At 42.6% G+C, this 21,956-nt stretch overlaps 1 protein-coding gene across 4 annotated transcripts in view, besides 3 other annotated features; it reads left to right on the forward strand.

Moving 5' to 3' along the window:
• Positions 1–21,956, forward strand: part of MID2 (midline 2) — a 105,903-nt gene that overhangs the window by 46,857 nt on the left and 37,090 nt on the right. The gene's annotated exons all lie outside the window — the stretch shown is intronic.
• Positions 5,107–5,615: an enhancer, noted in NCBI's record as "H3K4me1 hESC enhancer chrX:107120928-107121436 (GRCh37/hg19 assembly coordinates)". NCBI's record gives its function as "activates a minimal SCP1, AML or CMV promoter by ChIP-STARR-seq in naive H9 embryonic stem cells {active_cell/tissue: H9 hESC(naive)}" and the evidence as "EXISTENCE:reporter gene assay evidence [ECO:0000049][PMID:30033119]".
• Positions 5,616–6,124: an enhancer, noted in NCBI's record as "H3K4me1 hESC enhancer chrX:107121437-107121945 (GRCh37/hg19 assembly coordinates)". NCBI's record gives its function as "activates a minimal SCP1, AML or CMV promoter by ChIP-STARR-seq in naive H9 embryonic stem cells {active_cell/tissue: H9 hESC(naive)}" and the evidence as "EXISTENCE:reporter gene assay evidence [ECO:0000049][PMID:30033119]".
• Positions 21,577–21,626: an enhancer, noted in NCBI's record as "active region_29837". NCBI's record gives its function as "activates an Ori minimal core promoter by ATAC-STARR-seq in GM12878 lymphoblastoid cells {active_cell/tissue: GM12878}" and the evidence as "EXISTENCE:reporter gene assay evidence [ECO:0000049][PMID:35858748]".

Here is a 21,956-nt window from a genome sequence, read left to right on the forward strand (position 1 = left end):
TGAATACAATGATCTATTCCAGTGACTTTCAGTGCCATAAGAGTAGAAAGAAGTATAATCCCTCCCAATCTGGGCTTATAGAGGGAGAAAGGGAAGCAAGTACCTTTACCAGTATTAGGTCCACTGGGTTGAATAGAGGTGGCCCTAGTTCCTGGGATTGGACCTCCAACAGTTGTTTCAGTTCCTGTTGGAAATGGGCCAAAGAAGTTATATGTTTAATCAAATCAGAGGATTTTTGGTCTAGCAAGAAATCATTCGTGAGAAAAGGCCATCCATACATCATTTCAAAGGAACTCAAACCCAGCTTTGGAGGGGTGTTTCTAACATGTAGTAGGGCTATGGGGAGAAGGGTAGTTCAGGGGCGACGAGTCTCCTAAGACAGCTTCCTGAGGTGCATTTTGATAATATTCATCTTTTCTACCTTTCCTGAGGATTGTGGTCTCCAAGCACAATGAAGATGGTACTGTATGCCTAGTGCCTTTGAGACCCCCTGGGTGACGGCTGCCTTGAACAGGGGCCATTATCACTCTGGAGGTACTTAGGGAGTCCAAAGCAAGGAATTATCTCATTAATTAGTACTTTTATCACCTCAGAGACTTTCTCCGTCTGACAAGGAATTGCTTCTACTTAGTTAGTGAAGGTATCTATCCACACTAGGAGATACTGGATGCCTCTTGCCTTTGGCATATGGGTGAAATCCACTGCTAGTCTTCCCCTGGATAGCCTCCTGTCCTTTGGATTCCTGGGGGAAGAAGCTGTCGATTAAGGGGATTATTTTAAAGGCAGGTCTAGCAAGCATTAACGATCTGTTTAACTGTATCAGGTTTTTACCTGAGAGCAATTTCTGGGCCAACTGATGGGTTTTATCCTTACGTAGGTGGAAAGCTTGGTGAAGGATTTTAAGAACTTTCCATTGGTCAGCAGCCTGTAGATGAAGCTTGCTGTCCTCCAATTGTAGCCATCCTGGGGACTGAAAGATGTATCCCTGAGAGATTGCCCATTCTATTTCCACAGGAGAATATTTAGATTATATTTCTCTTAAGGGGCCCTCTCAGATCAGTGAGGCTTCAAGTGGATCAGAAATCTGAGGCTTTGTTGCTGCTGATTTAGCTGCTTGGTCTGCCAATCTATTTTGCTTGGCTACTTCATCCATACCTTTTTGGTGGCCTTTACAATGTATTACTGCCACTTCACATGTGAGAAAAACCGAGGATAATAGTCTATTAATTTCCTGATGGTATTTAATGGGACTCCCATTACCTGTGAGGAAGTTTCTCGCTTTCCAGATAGTGGCATGGGCACAGAGGACTAGGAAAGCATACTTAGAATCAGTGCAAATGTTAACTGTTTTTCCTTTGCTTAATTTGAGTGCCCTTGTGAGGGCAATTAGTTTGGCTAATTAAGCACTTGTCCCTGAGTAGAGAGACACACTCTCAACAATATCATTCAGAGTAACTATTGCATACCTTGCCTTATGTATCCCTTGTTCTACAAAAGAACTTCTGTCTGTAAAGAGAATCCAGTTTGGGTTCTCTAAGAGGGTTTCCTTGAGATCCTCTCTGGTCACATAGGTCTGTACTACTAGCTGTTCACAGTCATGTTCAAGCTTCCCAGCTTCCTCTGGGAGGAAGGTGGCTGGATTTAGGGAGGGACAGGTTCTTAATTGGACTTCAGATCCCTCTAATAGCAGAACTTGATACACGAGGAGGCAGTTGTCTGTTAGCCAGAGATTCCCCTTAGAAGACAGCAGTCCTGACACATTATGTGGAGTGCAAACAGTTAAGTTATTCCCCATGGTTAACTTAGTAGCCTTTGGTACCAGCAAGGCTACTGCTGCATCTGCCTGGAGGCAGGCTGTCCATCTTTTGGCTACCAAATCAAGCTCCTTACTTAGGTAGCCTACAGGCTGCTGGGCTGGACCAGGGCTTGTGTTAGCACTCCCAGGGCCATTTGCTTTGCTTCTGACACATAAAGATTAAACATCTTCCCTATGGGGAGACTAAGGGCTGGTGCCTTAAGCAAGGTTTGCTTTAGTTGGTCAGAGGCTTTTCTAGTCCCAGGTTCCCAAATTAGAGAGTGAGTTTTAGCTGCCTGAGTATCCTTTATTAGGTGATATAAGGGACAAACTATTTCACCATACCCAAGTATCCATAGTCTGAAGAATCCTGTAATACCTAAGAATCCCCTCAGTTGCTTGAGGGTTTTGGGGAGGGGAAAGGAGGAGATGGACTTAATCCTTTCTTTGCCCAGTGCTCTGGTCCCCTCTGACAAGATCAGACCAAGGTACTTCACTGAAGTCTGACAGAGCTGAGCTTTAGATTTTGAAACCTTATATCCTCTATTAGCCAGAAAATTGAGAAGAGCCTTACTACCCTCCGAGAGGTTTCCTCAGTTCGAGCACAGAGGAGAATGTCATCTATATATTGTAAAACTTTAACCTGAGGATAAAGGAACTCAGAGAAGTCTCTTGACAATGCCTGCCCAAACAAGTGAGGGCTGTCTCAGAATCCCTGAGGTAACACTGTCCAGGTTAACTGGGTAGTTTGGTTAGAGGGATCCTCAAATGCAAACAAATACTGGGAGTCAGAGTGTAATGGTATGCAGAAGAAGGCATCCTTTAGGTCCAGGACTGTGAACTGTTTAGTTCCTTCAGGTACTTGAGATAGCAGGGTATACAGATTGGAAACCACTGGGTGTAATGGAACCACAGCTTCATTAACAAGGTGGAGGTCCTGAACTAGTCTTCATTCCCCATTGGGTTTTTGTACTCCCAATATCGGAGTATTACAAGGGCTGTTGCAGGGTTTGAGGAGGCCCTGCAACCTTGTTATCAATGATGGCTTCTAGTCCTTTCCTAACTTCTGGTTTCAGGGGATATTGTTTCTGATTAGGAAATGAGGTGGGATCCTTAAGGTGAACCTGGACTGGTATGGCATTTGTGGATTGGCCAATTTTCCCTTGAATTGCCCAAACTTCTGTGTTAATATCAGTCTTCACTAGGGGGAGACAAATAGTTTGTTCAGAGGCCACCAGAATGGTGGTCCCCATACTGGCCAGAATATACCGGTTCAGCAGAGGAGTTGGGCTCTCAGGTATAATTAGAAAGGCATGGGTGAACAACAAGTCTCCCCAGCTACAACTAAAGAGTTGGAAAAAATACCGGATTAAGAGCCTTTCTGAGATACCCCTCTCATTTGTGCTAAGAGAAGAGAAGGGGCCCGGATTGGAGAGGAGAGCTGAGAGACCAACCCCAGTGTCCAAAAGGAGGTCCACTTTCCTCCCTTTGATTTTCAGAACTACCTGGGGCTCCTGGATGGTAATGGTGGTCTGGACCACTGGAGCTACAGAGAGGAGCCCTGGGACCCATCAGTCCTGCTGAACCATTTGGGAGATTGGCTCTGGACCTGGTGACCAGCCTCCCTGGGGACAGTCTGCCTTCCAGTGGTCCCCACTACAGATTGGACAGGGTCAAGGTGGCTTCCTCATGCTGCCTTGGCAATCCTTTCTAAAATGTCCTGGCATACTATATCTGTAGCAGTTAACAGGTGCACCTCAGGAATCCTGGGGTTTGTGGGCTTTCATGGTGGCCATTAAACCCTCTGCTTCTTTCCTATGTTTTCTCTCTCTCTCCTGGACCTCCCTATCTCTATTATAAAAGATCAAGGTGGCCACTTTCAGGAGATTCACTAAAGTACTATCTGGTCCCAGGGTCTGTTTCTGCAGTTTCCTCCTAATATCAGGGGCTACCTGAGTAATAAATTTATCCTTTAGGATTAGTTGTCCCTTGACTGAATTGGGAGATAGAGAGGTGTGCTTTACCAAGGCCCCTCTTAGCCTCTCCAGAAAGGCAGTAGGATTCTCATCAAATCCCTGGTCTGTCACGGGTAGCTTCGTATAACTGAGAGGCTTAGTTCTGGTCCTACGTAAGCCCTCCATCATGGACACCTAAAGTGTCTCCTCTTCCACTCTCCCATCTCAATATTGGGATCCTATTTAGGGTCATCCAATGGTACTGCTTCCCTTCCAATTGGATAAAGTTTGACTCCTTCCCTGACAATATATGTGATACTAAGCTCATCCCCAAATCCCTCTGTCAGCTGCAGAATGGCGTGCTTCTCAGTGTTAGGGTTTGATTCAAAAGTAACATAATGTCTTTCCAGGAGAGTTCAGATACTTGGGTTATATTCTGGAAAGCCTCTATACAACTGTCAGGGTCATCTGAAAACTTGCCGTGATCCCCCTTAATCTGCCTTAAGTCCTGTAGAGAGAAGGGCACCTGGACCTTACTGGGGTCAAATTCACCAGGCATCTGTTGGAGAGGCAGGAGTGAGACTGGGGCTTGTCCAGGGTGAAGATTTCTAGGAGGGGGCAAGTGAGAGAGAGAAGCTGGATGGGGAGGAAGGGGTGGACCCAGAGGAGCAGCGCTGGAGGGAGCTGGCTGTCCTGCTGGAGGTGTCTCTGGGGTTCATTTCTTTAGTTCCTTGGGATTGCCACTTGCAGCCTTCCCTGAGATGGCAAACCGGAGGGCTGAACCAATCCTACACTATCAGCAAAGGTCTGGATTACTTGCAAGGAAAAGAAAGTCTGCATGTATGGCCTCAGACCATCTGTCCTCATGTTTACAGAAAAGGTCCAACTACACGATGGTATTGAAATGAATGGTTCCTTCCTGAGGCCAAGACAGTCCTTCCTGCAGATCACAATTTGGCTAAACCTTTGTGCTATGAGGCATTTTACCTCCAGAGTATGAGGGTCAAAGCAGTTCCAGTGATTCAGGATACCCTCCAGAGGAGTACAGACTGGGGTGGTGAAGATAGCTGGTTACCCATTCCGAAAGACAGGGAAATAGGTGTCTCTCATTTCACTTCCTTCTTTCAGTGAAAACTTGAGGTATGAGGGAGAGAGAAAGTGAACCTCCTCCTTTTCTCTTCCATCATTTTATCCCCAAGACTTGGCAACCTTAGATGGATGCCACCCACAGGTGCCATTGCAGCCTGCACTCATAAAACAAGGAGGGCCTAGAGAATAGGAATTGTCTGCACTCACCTATGCCTTCATCCCCTTTACTGCCGGCAACCTTTGGGTTCCCAGGGCTTTATCTATGCCGTGGAGCATGGCCTCCTTCCATGAAGCAGAGGCTTAATCAGCAGGAATTTGTCCTACCCATTTATACTGTGCCTGTTGCCTCACTTGGGATTCTTCAGATCTGGTTTTCCTTTCTAGGGCTTCAACCCAAAGTTTAAAATTGAGTTTAGGGCAAAAAGGTGCATCAGTGGGTGCATGGATTCATTTAGATTAAGTCCATGATGGGTCCTGTCAAACTTGCAGTTATCAGCCAGCGGGGCCACTCCTCCATTGCTGCCCTATCATAACCAGAGTGCCGAGGTAGGAAAAGAACCCTATCACATAGAAAAAGAAAGGAAAAAAAAAAAACAGCTGAAGAGAGGGGGAAGAACCCCTTGCTCTATGCAAATGGGTTCCTTTAATCACTGTATTCTTCCCCCGCTTTGGACTGAGCTGAACTCCTCAGCCAGAGGAGTAAAGGCTCTATGGGCGTGTGATGGGAGGGGACGGTGAGTGGGAAATGCTGGACAGCTGCCCGTGTGGGGTCCCTGGGCCCCAAGACTGCCCTGGGGCCCTGGCTGCAGCTGTGATTTTCTCCTGCCCTCCATGGCTGTTGGAAGTGGCACATGCATGCTTTGGACATGCCCAAGTGCCCCAGCCAGGAGGGGAGGGGATGGAGAGGAAACTCACTGCGTGCCATGCATGTCTGCAGCTGTTGGGGTGGGGGTGGGGATGGCACCTCTAAGAACAAACGGAAATCACATTGTTCTGAATTGCATATCTGATTGCTGGGCCAAATGTTCATTCTACTTAATAACATTTCTGCAGTTTGCAGCAAAACTCTTAACATTATAAAAGAAGCAATAGGAGCCATTTCAAACCATAGAAGAAGAAAGGAAAGATACCACAGAAAAATCTGAGCATCTTGGCGGACCACCTATTACATTGGGGATGGGGTCCAGTTCAGGGGCCTTCTGGCAACAACGAGGAGTGGCATTGGCCAGATGCCTTCAGCTGCCCCAGGACTTTATTCTGGTCCCACATGATGGCTAGACCCATGTGAAGGGAAGCAGAGCCTTTTACCCAAAAGAGAAATGGCAGGGTTGCATCCTGCCCCCTGCAAGTGGCATAGATCAGAGGAAAGTCTGAGGACAAGAAAAGACAGATCCACATTTTTGCATTTACTCACCCTTCTGACGTATCCCAGACAAGGCCCTAAAATGGAGCAGGAAATTTCCCTGACCCCTTTGCAGGCAGGAACTCGAGTGCAGGGGTGCTAGAACTAGCTGGCTGCTTCAGTGCTGGCAGGGATGGACTCCACTTGCTTGGTCCCACTGCCTTCCACCCATCACAGGACGGGGAGTGCAGGTGAGCAGGTGCAGGAACCAGGGCGAGTGCTTTTGGGTGCTGGCAGGAGCAAAACTTCATGTGGATCTGCAGCAGCATCTGGCGGGGGTGGGGCCATGACCCCTGAAGCCCCAGAAAGAGTGTTACAATCAGTGCTCTTTCAGCTTTGCCATCCACATATGGCTTAAGTGTTAACAGCTCAGTGGAGGGTCACGGTGACTGCCTTTTGCACCCACACCCGAGTTCTTGTCCAGTGTCCAGGAGGAATGAGGTCACATGAACAAATTGGAGATGGTAAACTTGGGGGATTTTATTGCCAATGAAAGTGGCTCTCAGCGGGAAGGGGAGCTGAAAAGGGGACGGAGCAGGAAGATAGTCTTCCCCTGTAGTCCAGCCATCCCCGACCAGACTCCTCTCCAAAGCAATGCTGTCAAGCTGTCCTTCTGAAGTCAAGCTGACTCTCTCCAACATTCAACCATAGTCTCTGATGTCCAGCTGCTTCTCCTCTTCTCTTCTCTCTGCTGGCGGAGCCTAGGTTTTTTATGGGCACAGGGTGGTGGGCAGGGTGGGCCATGGGTGGTTTTGGAAAAGGCAGCATTCAAGAGGGAAAACAGGAATGGATGTTCTCACTTTGGGCCACAGTTCCAGGCTTGAGGGTGGGACGCTTGCCGGGGACCCACTCTCTTCTGCCCAGAATTTCCCTGCCTCCTATCCCTATCAGTATGTTTCTTAATTTTCAAGTGGTTAAGGATTTGGGAATTTATCTTTTTGTTATTTTATTCTTATTTTACAGGATAGTGATCAGAGATGGTAAACTATAAACTTTTTCTTCATGATCAATTTTAAATGCTCCATGAATATAAGGGAAGAATGTATTATTCTGTATGATGCAAAGTTTACATGTAACTATTATATTGATGTATTGATGGTTTTTTTCTATAGTCTTATTTTTGTTTAAAACTTGTTTTGTTAGTTTCACACTAAAACTATAACTGTCCAGTGGGTTCCTCTTGTCTGCTGCCCAGATAGAGCTGACTTATCAAGCAGAAGAATTGGCAATACAGAGAATTTAATTGACATGAGGTGGGCCATGCCTCTCAGAATTTGGGGACTAGGGTTTTTCTTTCTTTTTCTTTTTTCTTTTCTTTTTTTGAGACAGGGTCTGGCTCTGTCACCCAGGCTGGAGTGCAGTGACATGATCTCAACTCACTGCAACCTTGACCTCCCTGCAACCTCAGACTCCCGAGTAGCTGGGACTACAGACACATGCTGCCATGCCTGGCTAATTTTTAAATATTTTGTAGAGACAGGATTTCACCATGTTGCCAAGGCTGGTCTCGAATTCCTAGGCTCAAGCGATCTGCCCACTTCAGCCTCCCAAAGTGCTGAGATTACTAGAATGAGTCACTGTGCCTAGCTTAGGGTTTTCCAAAGGTAGTTTGGGGGAAGGGGTGGGAGTGGTTAGTCATTGCCATTGGGAAGTGGTTCTCTTGCATGCTGAGTCGCTTCTGGGTCGGAGCACATGAGTGATTGGCAGGTACAGGTGGAGCCATTCATGGTCAGATCTACAAAAAAACCTGAAAAGGTATCTCAAAAGGCCAATCTTAGGTTCTACAATAGTGATGTTATCTGCAGGAGTAACTGGGGAAATTGCATATTTTGTGAACTCTGGAATAATGGCAGGTAATCATTTATGTCTACATCTTAGCAGAATTCAGGCTTTTCTATGCTTTGAGCCTGGTGGTCTCTCATTAGCTTTACAAAGATGGTCGAGTTTTGGGGAAGGGTTCTTATCATTTAAACTATAAACTAAGCGTCTCCTAAAATTAGCTTGGCCTAAGCCCAGGAATAATTAAGGGCAGCTTGAAGGCCAAAGGCTAGATCCAATTTCCATCACTGACATCGTTTTCTCACTGTTATAAGTTTTGCAAAGGCGATTTCAAAATTGTATCTTTTTTCTATCTTATCCCTTTCTATTTTTAAGGATATTTATTTCCTAGAAGTGGAATTGACAGTTTAAAGTAAAGCCACGTTTCAATGTATTGACACATATTGTCAACAGTCTCTATTTGCCAAGGCAATTTATACTCCCACCAGAAATGTACAAGGGGGCAGATTTTCCTTTACCATGCTGTTAGAGTGCTACTAAATTCAGTCACCTACACTTAGCCTTTTTGGTCATCTCTCAGAGAAAGATTGTTGGATGCTGGGCAGTAGTAGAGAGCAGGAGCTCCCACTGGGTTAGGGTTAGGTCTGACAAAATTGGTGAAGGTCATCCAGTGGGCATAGTACCCCTGTTACAAATAAGACTGTTGAACTTTTGAGGTTTGGGTTGCTTCAATACAGAAAGAGGTCACAGAAATCAGAAGCAGTTTTGATTAAGCAGTTAAATGTCCCCATGTTCGACTTAAGTAGTTCCCTCCACACTTTCTGCCATCCCTGCATCCTCTAGATTTCTCACTCTCTTTGTTCTGCCCAGTGATGACCTTTTCTTCTCTCTGGTGTGTCCTTCAAAACTTGTTTTCTGAGATACTGAAATTCACAATGACATATGAATGAACAGAAACCACTGTACAGGGATCTGCCTTTTCATAAAGGACATACGTTCCTGAAAGTAGAATTTTAAGCATGGATGGGGTGTATAGTACCAATGAGGTCTTCTATTTCTTCACTAGGAAACAGCACTCATTAATTATTCATTAGAAATATACATGGTATTTGAAAAACCAGTATTAAATTCCTCTTCATAAAATACCTGATTCAAACAAATCAACTGTAAAAGTACACTTTTTTATGTAATCAGGACAATTTAAGTATAGAACAAGCATTAGATGAATGATATTAAGGAATTATTTTATTCACTGTGATTATGCAAAAAGATATACTTTTGTTTCTGAGATACAAACTGAAGCATTAGGGGTGAAATAACATAACGTTTTGGATTTGCTTTAAAATGCCTCAGCAGACAGTAACCAAAGCAGCATGGTACTGGTACCAAAGCAGATATACAGACCAATGGAACAGAACAGAGGCCTCAGAAATAACACCACACATCTACAATCATCTGATCTTTGACAAACCTGACAAAAACAAGAAATGGGGAAAGGATTCCCTATTTAACAAATGGTGCTGGGAAACTGGCTAGCCATATGTAGAAAGCTGAAACTGGATCCCTTCCTTACACCTTATACAAAAATTAATTCAAGATGGATTAAAGACTTAAATGTCAGACCTAAAATCATAAAAACCCTAGAAGAAAACCTAGGCAATACCATTCAGGACATAGGCATGGGCAAGGACTTCATGTCTAAAACACCAAAAGCAATGGCAACAAAAGCCAAAATTGACAAATGGGATCTAATTAAACTAAAGAGCTTCTGCACAGCAAAAGAAATTACCATCAGGGTGAACAGGCAACCTACAGAATGTGAGAAAATTTTTGCAATCTACTCATCTGACAAAGGGCTAGTATCCAGAATCTACAGTGAACTCAAATTTACAAGAAAAAAAACAAACAACCCCATCAAAAAGTGGGCAAAGGATATGAACAGACACTTCTCAAAAGAAGACATTTATGCAGCCAAAAGACACATGAAAAAATGCTCATCATCACTGGCCATCAGAGAAATGCAAATCAAAACCACAATGAGATACCATCTCACACCAGTTAGAATGGCGATCATTAAAAAGTCAGGAACCAACAGGTGCTGGAGAGGTTGTGGAGAAATAGGAACACTTTTACACTGTTGGTGGGACTGTAAACTAGTTCAACCATTGTGGAAGACAGCGTGGCAATTCTTCAAGGATCTGGAACTAGAAATACAATTTGTCCTAGCAATCCCATTACCCAGCAATCCCAAAGTATTATAAATCATTCTACTATAAAGACGCATGCACACATATGTTTACTGTGGCACTATTCACAATAATAAAGACTTAGAACCAACCCAAATGTCCATCAATGATAGACTGGATAAAGAAAACGTGGCACATATACACCGTGGAATACTATGCAGCCATAAAAAAGTATGAGTTCCTGTCGTTTGCAGGGACATGGATGAAGCTGGAAACCATCATTCTCAGCAAGCTATCACAAGAACAGAAAACCAAACACTGCATGTTCTCACTCATAAGTGGGAATTGAACAATGAGAACACATGGAAACAGGGAGGGGAACATTACACACTGGGGCCTGTCGGGGAGTGGGGGGCTAGGGAAGGGTTAGCATGAGGAGAAATGCCTAATGTAGGTGACGGGTTGATGGGTACAGCAAACCACCATGGCACGTGTATACCTATGTAACAAAACTGCATGTTCTGCACATGTACCCCAGAACTTAAAGTATAATTTAAAAAAATGCCTCAGCAGAAAAAGGAGGGAATAGATCAAACAAGTATAGAAAAATGTTGGTGGCTTTTGAAGCTGGGGGATGGACACACGGGGCTTCATCATATTCTCTAGTTTTAAATATGCTCAGTTTCACAATAAAAATGTTTAAAATTGCAATAGTAACATATTTTCACTGCAACCAGTTTTTTAAAAAGCCAAAATGCATAAAGCTATCATTTTTAAGTTTTCCTTGCCCTCTTTTCACACAATCTATGGCATAGCTTATTTTTATACCAAATCCATTTTTATCAAAGTCCTATATCCCCATTCTCAGGACTAGCCTAGTTTTCTCCCATGCCCAATTTATCTTCCTTTTCATTACATTGTTTGAAGCTCCTCAGTGAGGAGAATGTGATGATAGGGAAAGATCCAGGTGTAAGAGCTAAGCCATATTATTGTTTGAACATAGTCTATGGGAAAGTGGCTGCTAAGGAGATGCATTCTTTATTAGAAAATATATTTGGAATCTGGTGCTGAGGATGTGAGATCTGAACTCAGTAAGAGATCATAGACCTGAATTGCTACAATATATTCAGACCAAAGTAGCTGAATAAGTTAGCTCACTATCCAAATAAGGACGACTTAGCCTTTTAGGTTCTAGATTAGATTAAGAAGAATGATCTATCCACATTTTACAGAATGGAAGTCATTTCTGAGTAAAAACTTAAGTCTTTAAATTATTTAGAAACATTTTTATCTACATACATATACACAAGTTATAAGTTCCAAATCTACCGCAAATAACCAAGAAAATATCCTGGAGTTTATCAGTTGTAAATGATAAACTCTCAAGAGTTGAAATGCCAGCTATCCTATAGATGAGTAAGTAGAGACATAAATCAAAACCTGAATTTCAGCTTTTTGGGAAAGAAGTACTTTTTGGGAAAGAGGTACCAGACCAGCGTAGCAACTTGGAGTTGGAGAGGAGTAGGCATGGAAATCAATATTTATTTAATTCCTACTATGTTCCAGGTAGTGTGCTAAGACCTTTGTCTCTGTTATCTCATTTGATTCTCATAACCACTTGTGAGGTAGGTAACATTGTTTCTATTTTACCAGTCAGAAAGATAGCTCAGAGATGTTAAGTGACTTGTCATGAAGTCACTTGGCTTTCAAGCGTCAAAGCAGGAATGCAGATTCAGGCCAGCCTGGCTTACAATCCAGACTTTTTCCCACTCTACTCTGCTGCCTGAGTAGAAATGGAAACTTAGCACAGGAAAATCCTCAAAAAAAGGGAAAGGTGGTTTTCCTCAAAAATAAAAATAAAAATAAATTTTAGCTACAAAGAGACCAAAAACAAAACAAAACAAAACAAAAACAGGGCAGATTAGAATGGAACATGGCAGAAGTCTTGGCCTTGGAGTTAGGATGCCCAGTTTGGTTGTAACTCTGTCATTTGCTAGCTTATATGACTTTGATAATTTACTTTACCTCTCTAGATCTCAGTTTCCTCATCCATAAAATGCAGACAGTAGTGTCTACCCTATCTAATCAGGTTGTTGTGAAGATCAAATATAGAGATCAAATATATCTGAAAGCACTTTCTAGGCCAAGCCATAACAACTACACAGCTGTAATAACTATACAACCATAACTAATTATTTCTTTTACTAGCAGTAACAATGTATTAAGATGGCCAGATTTTTGGAATTTCCCAGCAGGTTGAGATCCCTTCCCGTTTTTGTTTTTGTTTTTTTTCCAGGAGAATCTCTTATTTATTTATTTATTTATTTATTTATTTTATTATACTTTTAAGTTTTAGGGTACATGTGCACAACGTGCAGGTTTGTTACATATGTATACATGTGCTGTGTTGGTGTGCTGCACCCATTAACTCGTCATTTACATTAGGTATATCTCCTAATGCTATCCCTCTCCCCTCCCCCCACCCCACAACAGGCCCCGGTGTGTGATGTTTCCCTTCCTGTGTCCATGTGTTCTCACTGTTCAGTTCCCACCTATGAGTGAGAACATGCGGTGTTTGGTTTTTTGTCTTTGCGATAGTTTGCTGAGAATGATGGTTTCCAGCTTCATCCATGTCCCTAAAAAGGACATGAACTCATCATTTTTTATGGCTACATAGTATTCCGTGGTGTATATGTGCCACATTTTTTTGATCCAGTCTATTATTGTTGGACATTTGGGTTAGTTCCAAGTCTTTGCTATTGTGAATAGTGCCACAATAAACATACGTGTGCTCGTGTCTTTATAGCAGCATGTTTTGTAATCCTTTGGGTATATACCCAGTAATGGGATGGCTGGGACAAATGGTATTTCTAGTTCTAGATCCCTGAGGAATCGCAACACTGACTTCCACAATGGTTGAAAGAGTTTACAGTCCCACCAACAGTGTAAAAGTGTTCCTATTTCTCCACATCCTCTCCGGCACCTGTTGTTTACTGACTTTTTAATGATTGCCATTCTAACTGGTGTGAGATGGTGTCTCATTGTGGTTTTGATTTGCATTTCTCTGATGGCCAGTGATGATGAGCATTTTTTCATGTGTCTTTTGGCTGCATAAATGTCTTCTTTTGAGAAGTGTCTGTTCATATCCTTTGCCCACTTTTTGATGGGGTTATTTGTTTTTTTCTTGTAAATTTGTTTGAGTTCATTGTAGATTCTGGATATTAGCCCTTTGTTAGATGAGTAGATTGGAAAAATTTTCTCCCATTCTGTAGGTGGCCTGTTCACTCTGATGGTAGTTTCTTTTGCTGTGCAGAAGCTCTTTAGTTTAATTAGATCCCATTTGTCAATTTTGGCTTTTGTTGCCATTGCTTTTGGTGTTTTAGACATGAAGTCCTTGCCCATGCCTATGTCCTGAATGGTATTGCCTAGGTTTTCTTCTAGGAGTTTTATGCTTTTAGGTCTAACATTTAAGTCTTTAATCCATCTTGAATTAATTTTTGTATAAGGTGTAAGGAAGGGATCCAGTTTCAGCTTTCTACCTATGGCTAGCCAGTTTTCCCAGCACCATTTATTAAATAGGGAATCCTTTCCCCATTGCTTGTTTTTGTCAGGTTTGTCAAAGATCAGACAGTTGTAGATATGCGGCATTATTTCTGAGGCCTCTGTTCTGTTCCATTGATCTATATCTCTGTTTTGGTACCAGTACCATGCTGTTTTGGTTACTGTAGCCTTGTAGTATAGTTTGACGTCAGGTAGCGTGATGCTTCCAGCTTTATTCTTTTGGCTTAGGATTGTCTTGGCAGTGCAGGCTCATTTTTGGTTTCATATGAACTTTCAAGTAGTTTTTTCCAATTCTGTGAAGAAGGTCATTGGTAGCTTGATGGGGATGGCATTGAATCTATAAATTACCTTGGGCAGTATGGCCATTTTCACGATATTGATTCTTCCTACCCATGAGCATGGAATGTTCTTCCATTTGTTTGTATCCTCTTTTATTTCATTGAGCAGTGTTTTGTAGTTCTCCTTGAAGAGGTCCTTGACATCCCTTGTAAGTTGGATTCCTAGGTATTTTATTCTCTTTGAAGCAATTGTGAATGGGAGTTCACTCATGATTTGACTTTCTGTTTGTCTGTTATTGGTGTATAAGAATGCTTGTGATTTTTGCACATTGATTTTGTATCCTGAGACTTTGCTGAAGTTGCTTATCAGCCTAAGGAGATTTTGGGCTGAGATGATGGGGTTTTCTAAATATACAATCATGTCATCTGCAAACAGGGACAATTTGACTTCCTCTTTTCCTAATTGAATACCCTTTATTTCCTTCTCCTGCCTAATTGCCCTGGCCAGAACTTCCAACACTGTGTTGAATAGGAGTGGTGAGAGAGGGCATCCCTGTCTTGTGCCAGTTTTCAAAGGGAATGCTTCCAGTTTTTGCCCATTCAGTATGATATTGGCTGTGGGTTTTTCATAAATAGCTCTTATTATTTTGAGATACGTCCAATCAATGCCTAATTTCTTGAGAGTTTTTAGCATGAAGGGTTGTTGAATTTTGTCAAAGGTCTTTTCTGCATCTATTGAGATAATCATCTGGTTTTTGTCTTTGATTCTGTTTATATGCTGGATTATGTTTATTGATTTGTGTATGTTGAACCAGCCTTGCATCCCAGGGATGAAGCCCACTTGATCATGGTGGATAAGGTTTTTGATGTGCTGCTGGATTCGGTTTGCCAGTATTTTACTGAGGATTTTTGCATCGATGTTCATCAGGGATATTGGTCTAAAATTCTCTTTTTTTGTTGTGTCTCTACCAGGCTTTGGTATCAGGATGATGCTGGCCTCATAAAATGAGTTAGGGAGGATTCCCTCTTTTTCTATTGATTGGAATAGTTTCAGAAGGAATGGTACCAGCTCCTCCTTGTACCTCTGGTAGAATTCAGCTGTGAATCCATCCGATCCTGGACTTTTTTTGGTTTGTAAGCTATTAATTATTGCCTCAATTTCAGAGCCTGTTATTGGTCTATTCAGAGATTCAACTTCTTCCTGGTTTAGTCTTGGGAGAGTGTATGTGTTGAGGAATTTATCCATTTCTTCTAGATTTTCTAGTTTATTTGCTTAGAGGTGTTTATAGTACTCTCTGATGGTAGTCTGTATTTCTGTGGGATCGGTGGTGATATCTCCTTTATCATTTTTTATTGCATCTATTTGATTCTTCTCTCTTTTCTTCTTTATTAGTTTTGCTAGTGGTCTATCAATTTTGTTGATCTTTTCAAAAAACCAGCTCCTGGATTCATTGATTTTTTGAAGGGTTTTTTGTGTCTCTATTTCCTTCAGTTCTGCTCTGATCTTAGTTATTTCTTGCCTTCTGCTAGCTTTTGAATGTGTTTGCTCTTGCTTCTCTAGTTCTCTTAATTGTGATGTTAGGGTGTCAATTTCAGATCTTTCCTGCTTTCTCTTGTGGGCATTTAGTGCTATAAATTTCCCTCTACACACTGCTTTGAATGTGTCCCAGAGGTTCTGGTATGTTGTGTCTTTGTTCCCATTGGTTTCAAAGAACATGTTTATTTCTGCTTTCCTTTTGTTACGTACCCAGTAGTCATTCAGGAGCAGGTTGTTCAGTTTCCATGTAGTTGAGCGGTTTTGAGTGAGTTTCTTAATCCTGCGTTCTAGTTAGATTGCACTGTGGTCTGAGAGACAGTTTGTTATAATTTCTGTTCTTTTACATTTGCTGAGAAGTGCTTTACTGTGGTCAATTTTGGAATAGGTGTGGTGTGGTGCTGAAAAGAATGTATATTCTGTTGATTTGGGCTGGAGAGTTCTGTAAATGTCTATTAGGTCTGCTTGGTGCAGAGCTGAGTTCAATTCCTGGATATCCTTGTTAACTTTCTGCCCGTTGATTTGTCTAATGTTGACAATGCGGGGGTGTTAAAGTCTCCCATTATTATTATGTGGGAGTCTAAGTCTCTTTGTAGGCCTCTAAGGACTTGCTTTATGAATCTGGGTGCTCCTGTATTGGGTGCATATATGTTTAGGATAGTTAGCTCTTCTTGTTGAATTGATCCCTTTACCATTATGTAATGGCCTTCTTTGTCTCTTTTGATCTTTTTGTTGGTTTAAAGTCTGTTTTATCAGAGGCTAGGATTGCAGACCCTGCCTTTTTTTGTTTTCCATTTGCTTGGGAGATCTTCCTCCATCCCTTTATTTTGAGCCTATGTGTGTCTCTGCACTTGAGATGGGTTTCCTGAATACAGCACACTGATGGGTCTTGACTCTTTATCCAATTTGCCAGTCTGTGTCTTTTAATTGGAGCATTTAGCCCATTTACATTTAAGGTTAATATTGTTATGTGTGAATTTGATCCTGTCATTATGATGTTAGCTGGTTATTTTGCTCGTTAGTTGATGCAGTTTCTTCCTAGCCTCAATGGTCTTTACAATTTGGCATGATTTTGCAGTGGCTGGTACCGGTTATTCCTTTCCATGTTTAGTGCTTCCTTCAGGAGCTCTTTTAGGGCAGGCCTGGTGGTGACACAATCTCTCAGCATTTGCTCATCTGTAAAGGCTTTTATTTCTCCTTCACTTATGAAGCTTAGTTTGGCTGGATATGAAATTCTGGGTTGAAAATTCTTTTCTTTAAGAATGTTGAATATTGGCCCCCACTCTCTTCTGGCTTGTAGAGTTTCTGCCGAGAGATCCGCTGTTAGTCTGATGGGCTTCCCTTTGTGGGACCCGGCCTTTCTCTCTGGCTGCCCTTAACATTTTTTCCTTCATTTCAACTTTGGTGAATCTGACAATTATGTGTCTTGGAGTTGCTCTTCTCGAGGGTATCTTTGTGGCATTCTCTGTATTTCCTGAATCTGAATGTTGGCCTGCCTTGCTGGATTGGGGAATTTCTCCTGGATAATATCCTGCAAAGTGTTTTCCAACTTGGTTCCATTCTCCCCGTCACTTTCAGGTACACCAATCAGACGTAGATTTGGTCTTTTCACATAGTCTCATATTTTTTGGAGGCTTCGTTCATTTCTTTTTTTTCTTTTTTCTCTAAACTTCTCTTCTCACTTCATTTCATTCATTTCATCTTCCATCACTGACACCCTTTCTTCCAGTTGATCGAATCAGCTACTGAGGCTTGTGCATTCATCACATAGTTCTCGTGCCATGGTTTTCAGCTCCATCAGGTCCTTTAAGGACTTCTCTGCATTGGTTATTCTAGTTAGCCATTCATGTAATTTTTTTTCAAGGTTTTTAACTTCTTTGCCTTGGATTCGAACTTCCTCCTTTAGCTCGGAGTAGTTTGATCATCTGAAGCTTTCTTCTCTCAACTCATCAAATTCTTTCTCCATCCAGCTTTGTTCTGTTGCTGGTGAGGAGCTGCGTTCCTTTGGAGGAGGAAAGGCGCTCTGATTTTTAGAGTTTCCAGTTTTTCTGCTCTGTTTTTTCCCTATCTTTGTGGTTTTATCTTCCTTTTGTCTTTGATGATGGTGACGTACAGATGGGGTTTTGGTGTGGATGTCCTTTCTGTTTATTAGTTTTCCTTCTTACAGTCAGGACCCTTAGCTGCAGGCCTGTTGGAGTTTGTGGGAGGTCCACTCCAGACCCTGTTTGCCTGGGTATCAGCAGCAGAGGCTGCAGAACAGTGGATATTGGTGAACAGCAGATGTTGCTGCCTGATCTTTCCTCTGGAAGTTTTGTCTCAGAGGAGTACCCGGCCTTGTGAGGTATCAGTCTGCCCCTACTGGGGGGTGCCTCCCAGTTAGGCTACTCGGGGGTTAGGGATCCACTTGAAGAGGCAGTCTGTCTGTTCTCAGATCTCCAGCTGTGTGCTGGGAGAACCACTCCTCTCTTCAAAGCTGTCAGACAGGGACATTTAAGTCTGCAGAGTTTTCTGCTGCCTTTTGTTTGGCTATGCCCTGCCCCCAGAGATGGAGTCTACAGAGGCAGGCAGGCCTCCTTGAGCTGCGGTGGGCTCCACCCAGTTCAAGCTTCCCAGCTGCTTTGTTTACCTACTCAAGCCTCGGCAATGGTGGGTGCCCCTCCCCCAGCCTTGCTGCCACCTTGCAGTTTGATCTCAGAGTGCTGTGCTAGCAATTAGCGAGGCTCTGTGGGATTAGGTCCCTCTGAGCCAGGCGCAGGATATAATCTGGTGTGCCGTTTGCTAAGACCATTGGAAAAGCACAGTGTTAGGGTGGGAGTGACCCAGTTTTCCAGGTGCTGTCTCTCACCCGTTTCTTTGACTAGGAAAGGGAATTCCCTGACCCCTTGAGCTTCCTGGGTGAGGCGATGCCTCACCCTGCTTCGGCTCACGCTCGGTGCGCTGCACCCACTGTCCTGCACCCTCTTTCTGAGACTCCCCAGTGAGATGAACCCAGTACCTCAGTTGGAAATGCAGAAATCACCCGTCTTCTGCGTCACACACGCTGGGAGCTGTAGACTGGAGCTGTTCCTATTCGGCCATCTTGGCTCCATCCTCCTGTTTGTTTTATACCTTTTTTTTTTTTTTTTTTTGAGAAAGAGTCTCACCTTGTCACCCAGGCTGGAATGCAGTGGCGCAATCTCAGCTCATTGCAACCTCCGCCTCTCAGGTTCAAGTGATTCTCCTGCCTCAGACTCCCGAGTAGCTGAGATTACAGGCATGCGCCACCATGCCTGGCTATTTTTTGTATTTTTAATAAAGATAGGGTTTCACCATGTTGGTCAGGCTGAGCCTAAAACAGACCTCAAGTGATCTGCCCGCCTTAGCCTCCCAAAGTGCTGGGATTACAGGTGTGAACCACTGCGCCCAGCCCATCCTAATCAGGGCCTCTGACCCCCTTGGGGTTTTCCCCGTAGAAACCCCTTTGTTTATTTCTTGACTCACAAGGTAGTTGAGACCTCTGGAAATATGTTCTCAAGACCTCTTTGTTGCCCAGTCACAGAGTTCAGCGTTGGTTATTATTCTGAGGCTTCCCTTCCCTCTGATGCTTACAAACAGAATTCCTCTGGTCCTTGTCTTTCAGGCTCTTTCCTGGTACTTCCTATTTCTCTACTCCCTCAGCTTAGAAGCAACATAGGCTCTTCTTCAGCTATTTTCACTCTTCTACTTGGGCCCTTGCTTCTTCTGTTGGGCTGGAATCAGACTGTTTTCTGTCTGCCTGGAATCAGATTTTTTCCCTTTTGTCATCCAGAGTTCCCTGTCTCAGAAAGAATGACCTCTTTCTCATAACAATGCCCTTTTCGACCTTAGCTATGAGAGTTCAAATTTCCCTGGCCCTCCCAGTAGAAATTCCTTGCTCTGTATATATACAGGGAGTATCACGATGGTGAATCCATCCCTCAGAAACAAATGTCTTGGGAGGAGTGCTTATGTCAGACTTGAGTACAGAGAGTGGCTAAATGCTCCCCACAATCTGATCTGAGACTTAAGAAGGCGGAAACATTCACTGGCTTGCTTTGTTCTCCTCCCTTTCCATAATTCCTTGGTTGTGAAGGCAGTGAAAAGGATGGCCTTGGAAAAAGCCCTAGACTAGAAATCAGGAAACCTGGGTTCTGCTGCTGGCTCTGTCACCCACTAGTCACATGAACTTGGGTGGAACAGCCTGTGCAAACCTCTATTAGACTGCTTGCTCTTCCATGAAGGAATTTCTTGGTTACAGGCTGTTTCCTTGGTTGGACTAGAAGCTTCCTGAAGGTAGCAGCCATGGCCATGCCACAATCATTTTGGAAACTGCAGTTTCTAACTGGTCTCTCTGGCCCATCCTGTTCCCCTCCTATCCATTTTCCACATTGCTGTGGAAATGAACTTGTAAAATGCAAAACCTGTCATGTCACTCCCTACCACAAACCCTTTAATGGTTCCCCCACTGCCTTTAAAACCCATTATGATCTGGCCCCTACCTACCTCTCTAGCATGGTCTCCCAGACCTTTTTGCTGTCTTCGTCTTCTCTGCTGTGAATCTCCCCTTCCTCTAGCTAACTCTCATTCATTCCTTAAAAATATCACATCCTTAGGAAGCCTTCCTTGACCATCTAAGCTCCCCACTTGACAACTGTTGGTTAAATCCCCATCTTATAAGCACCCAAAGATTATCCTTTTTACGTGATAAACCTCTTTTGTAGCACTCCTCAAACAGGTAACTGCTCAGTATCTGCTTCCCTGCTCATTATAAGATTCACGAGATGATGGCAGAGGCCTTATCTATCTCGTGTATTGCTAAGTGCTTACTAAAATGCCTAGCACATAATAACAGTAAAATTTGTTCAATGGTAATATGAAATGACCTGTAATGTATCCACATAAATGAGTGTTGACTGCTTCAAGAATTGGGTGTATCCTCCATGGTAAGAGTGATGTCTGTCTATAATCTTTCATGTTCTTACGGCTTTCTGAAAAACAGTGCTATTATTGAAATATCTCCCATAAACATTATAAAACAGTAAAACAGTTAATGTCCTTTTGATCCTATAATGTAGTATTACACAGATCTTCTCACTTCGTGTAAAAAACACAGTCTTTGTCAGTGCTTCTTTTTACTGCTAGACTATGAAACTATGAATTTTGCTTATTAGCTGAAATATTACTAGAATGTTTTTATTTTGTTAATATCTCAGGTTAACAGTCTGCTATTTGATTCTTTAACCTGTCTTGAAAAGGCATGTATATGTCTCATTATTACTTAAAGAAATCGGGTAGCTGATTTGAGAATATACCATTATGTTAACTTTTTAGTTGATTCTATTTTTAACATGAAAATAAACAAGTCAATTTAAAACTTTTAAAAAGGAACGATTAAGTAGATATATTTTATCTTGTTTTTGGAGGAATGTCAATATTGTGAAGCACTTTTCCAAGTCCTTTTAAGCAGAATATGAGTTGACTTATTAATAGTAATATGCTCACTGGGAGACAGTAAGTGGAAAGAAAAGTGATAGACTTGAGTCTGTCTGGCTCTGTTTTATAAGCTGCGTACACTGAACCTCATTTTATTCATCTAAAAAATAGGATGATAGTATGTACTTTGAAGAGTTATTCTGAAAGTTGAAAATAATATAAAGTACTAGCACATCTAATGATGTCCTTTTGCCATCTGTACTTTATATGCTGTTCATTCATTCCAAAAATATTTAAGCGCATTTCTGCATTGGGCCAGGCACTGGCAACATAATGGTGGACGTCGCACCTGTCTTCACAGAACTTACACTCCTTCGATTTTCCATCTGTAGGAGTACTGCTCAGCTCAGCCTTCACCTCCTTTAAGAAGCCATCACCCATGCTCTAAGCCTCATTCCCTGCCTCCCTCATCTGGTTCAGGTGTTCCTCCTCTGTGTCTTCAGGGTAACCTGTGCATACTTTCATCATAGCACTTCTATATACCGATTTGTCTCCCCACCAGACTAAGCTCTCAGGCCGAGTATGGTGTCCTATCCTTTTTTTTTTTATACCCAGCACATGGCTTGGTACACGAATAGGTACCGAGAAAGGATATTTGGATAAACATTGCCATCTGGTGGCCAGATGTTGTAAGTACAATCTTTTATGCATCATAAGGGTGAGTAAAGCCCAGGTGAGTAAAGCACCTAGGAAAGGCAACTTTTTATTTATTTTAACACAGGGAAAGGAAATATTTCAGAATATGTGGTCTCCTAGAATCTCCTAGGTCTCCTAGAGGTGTTGTTATTCCAACGTCTCTCCAAATCTTTCATAATTCAGAAAACAATATTTAAATGACACAACAGATAAAACTATTTTGAGTGTGCAAAAATAAAATGAAAGAGAAA

This window comes from Homo sapiens, chromosome X (genome assembly GCF_000001405.40).
Source record: "Homo sapiens chromosome X, GRCh38.p14 Primary Assembly".
Taxonomy (NCBI): domain Eukaryota; kingdom Metazoa; phylum Chordata; class Mammalia; order Primates; family Hominidae; genus Homo; species Homo sapiens.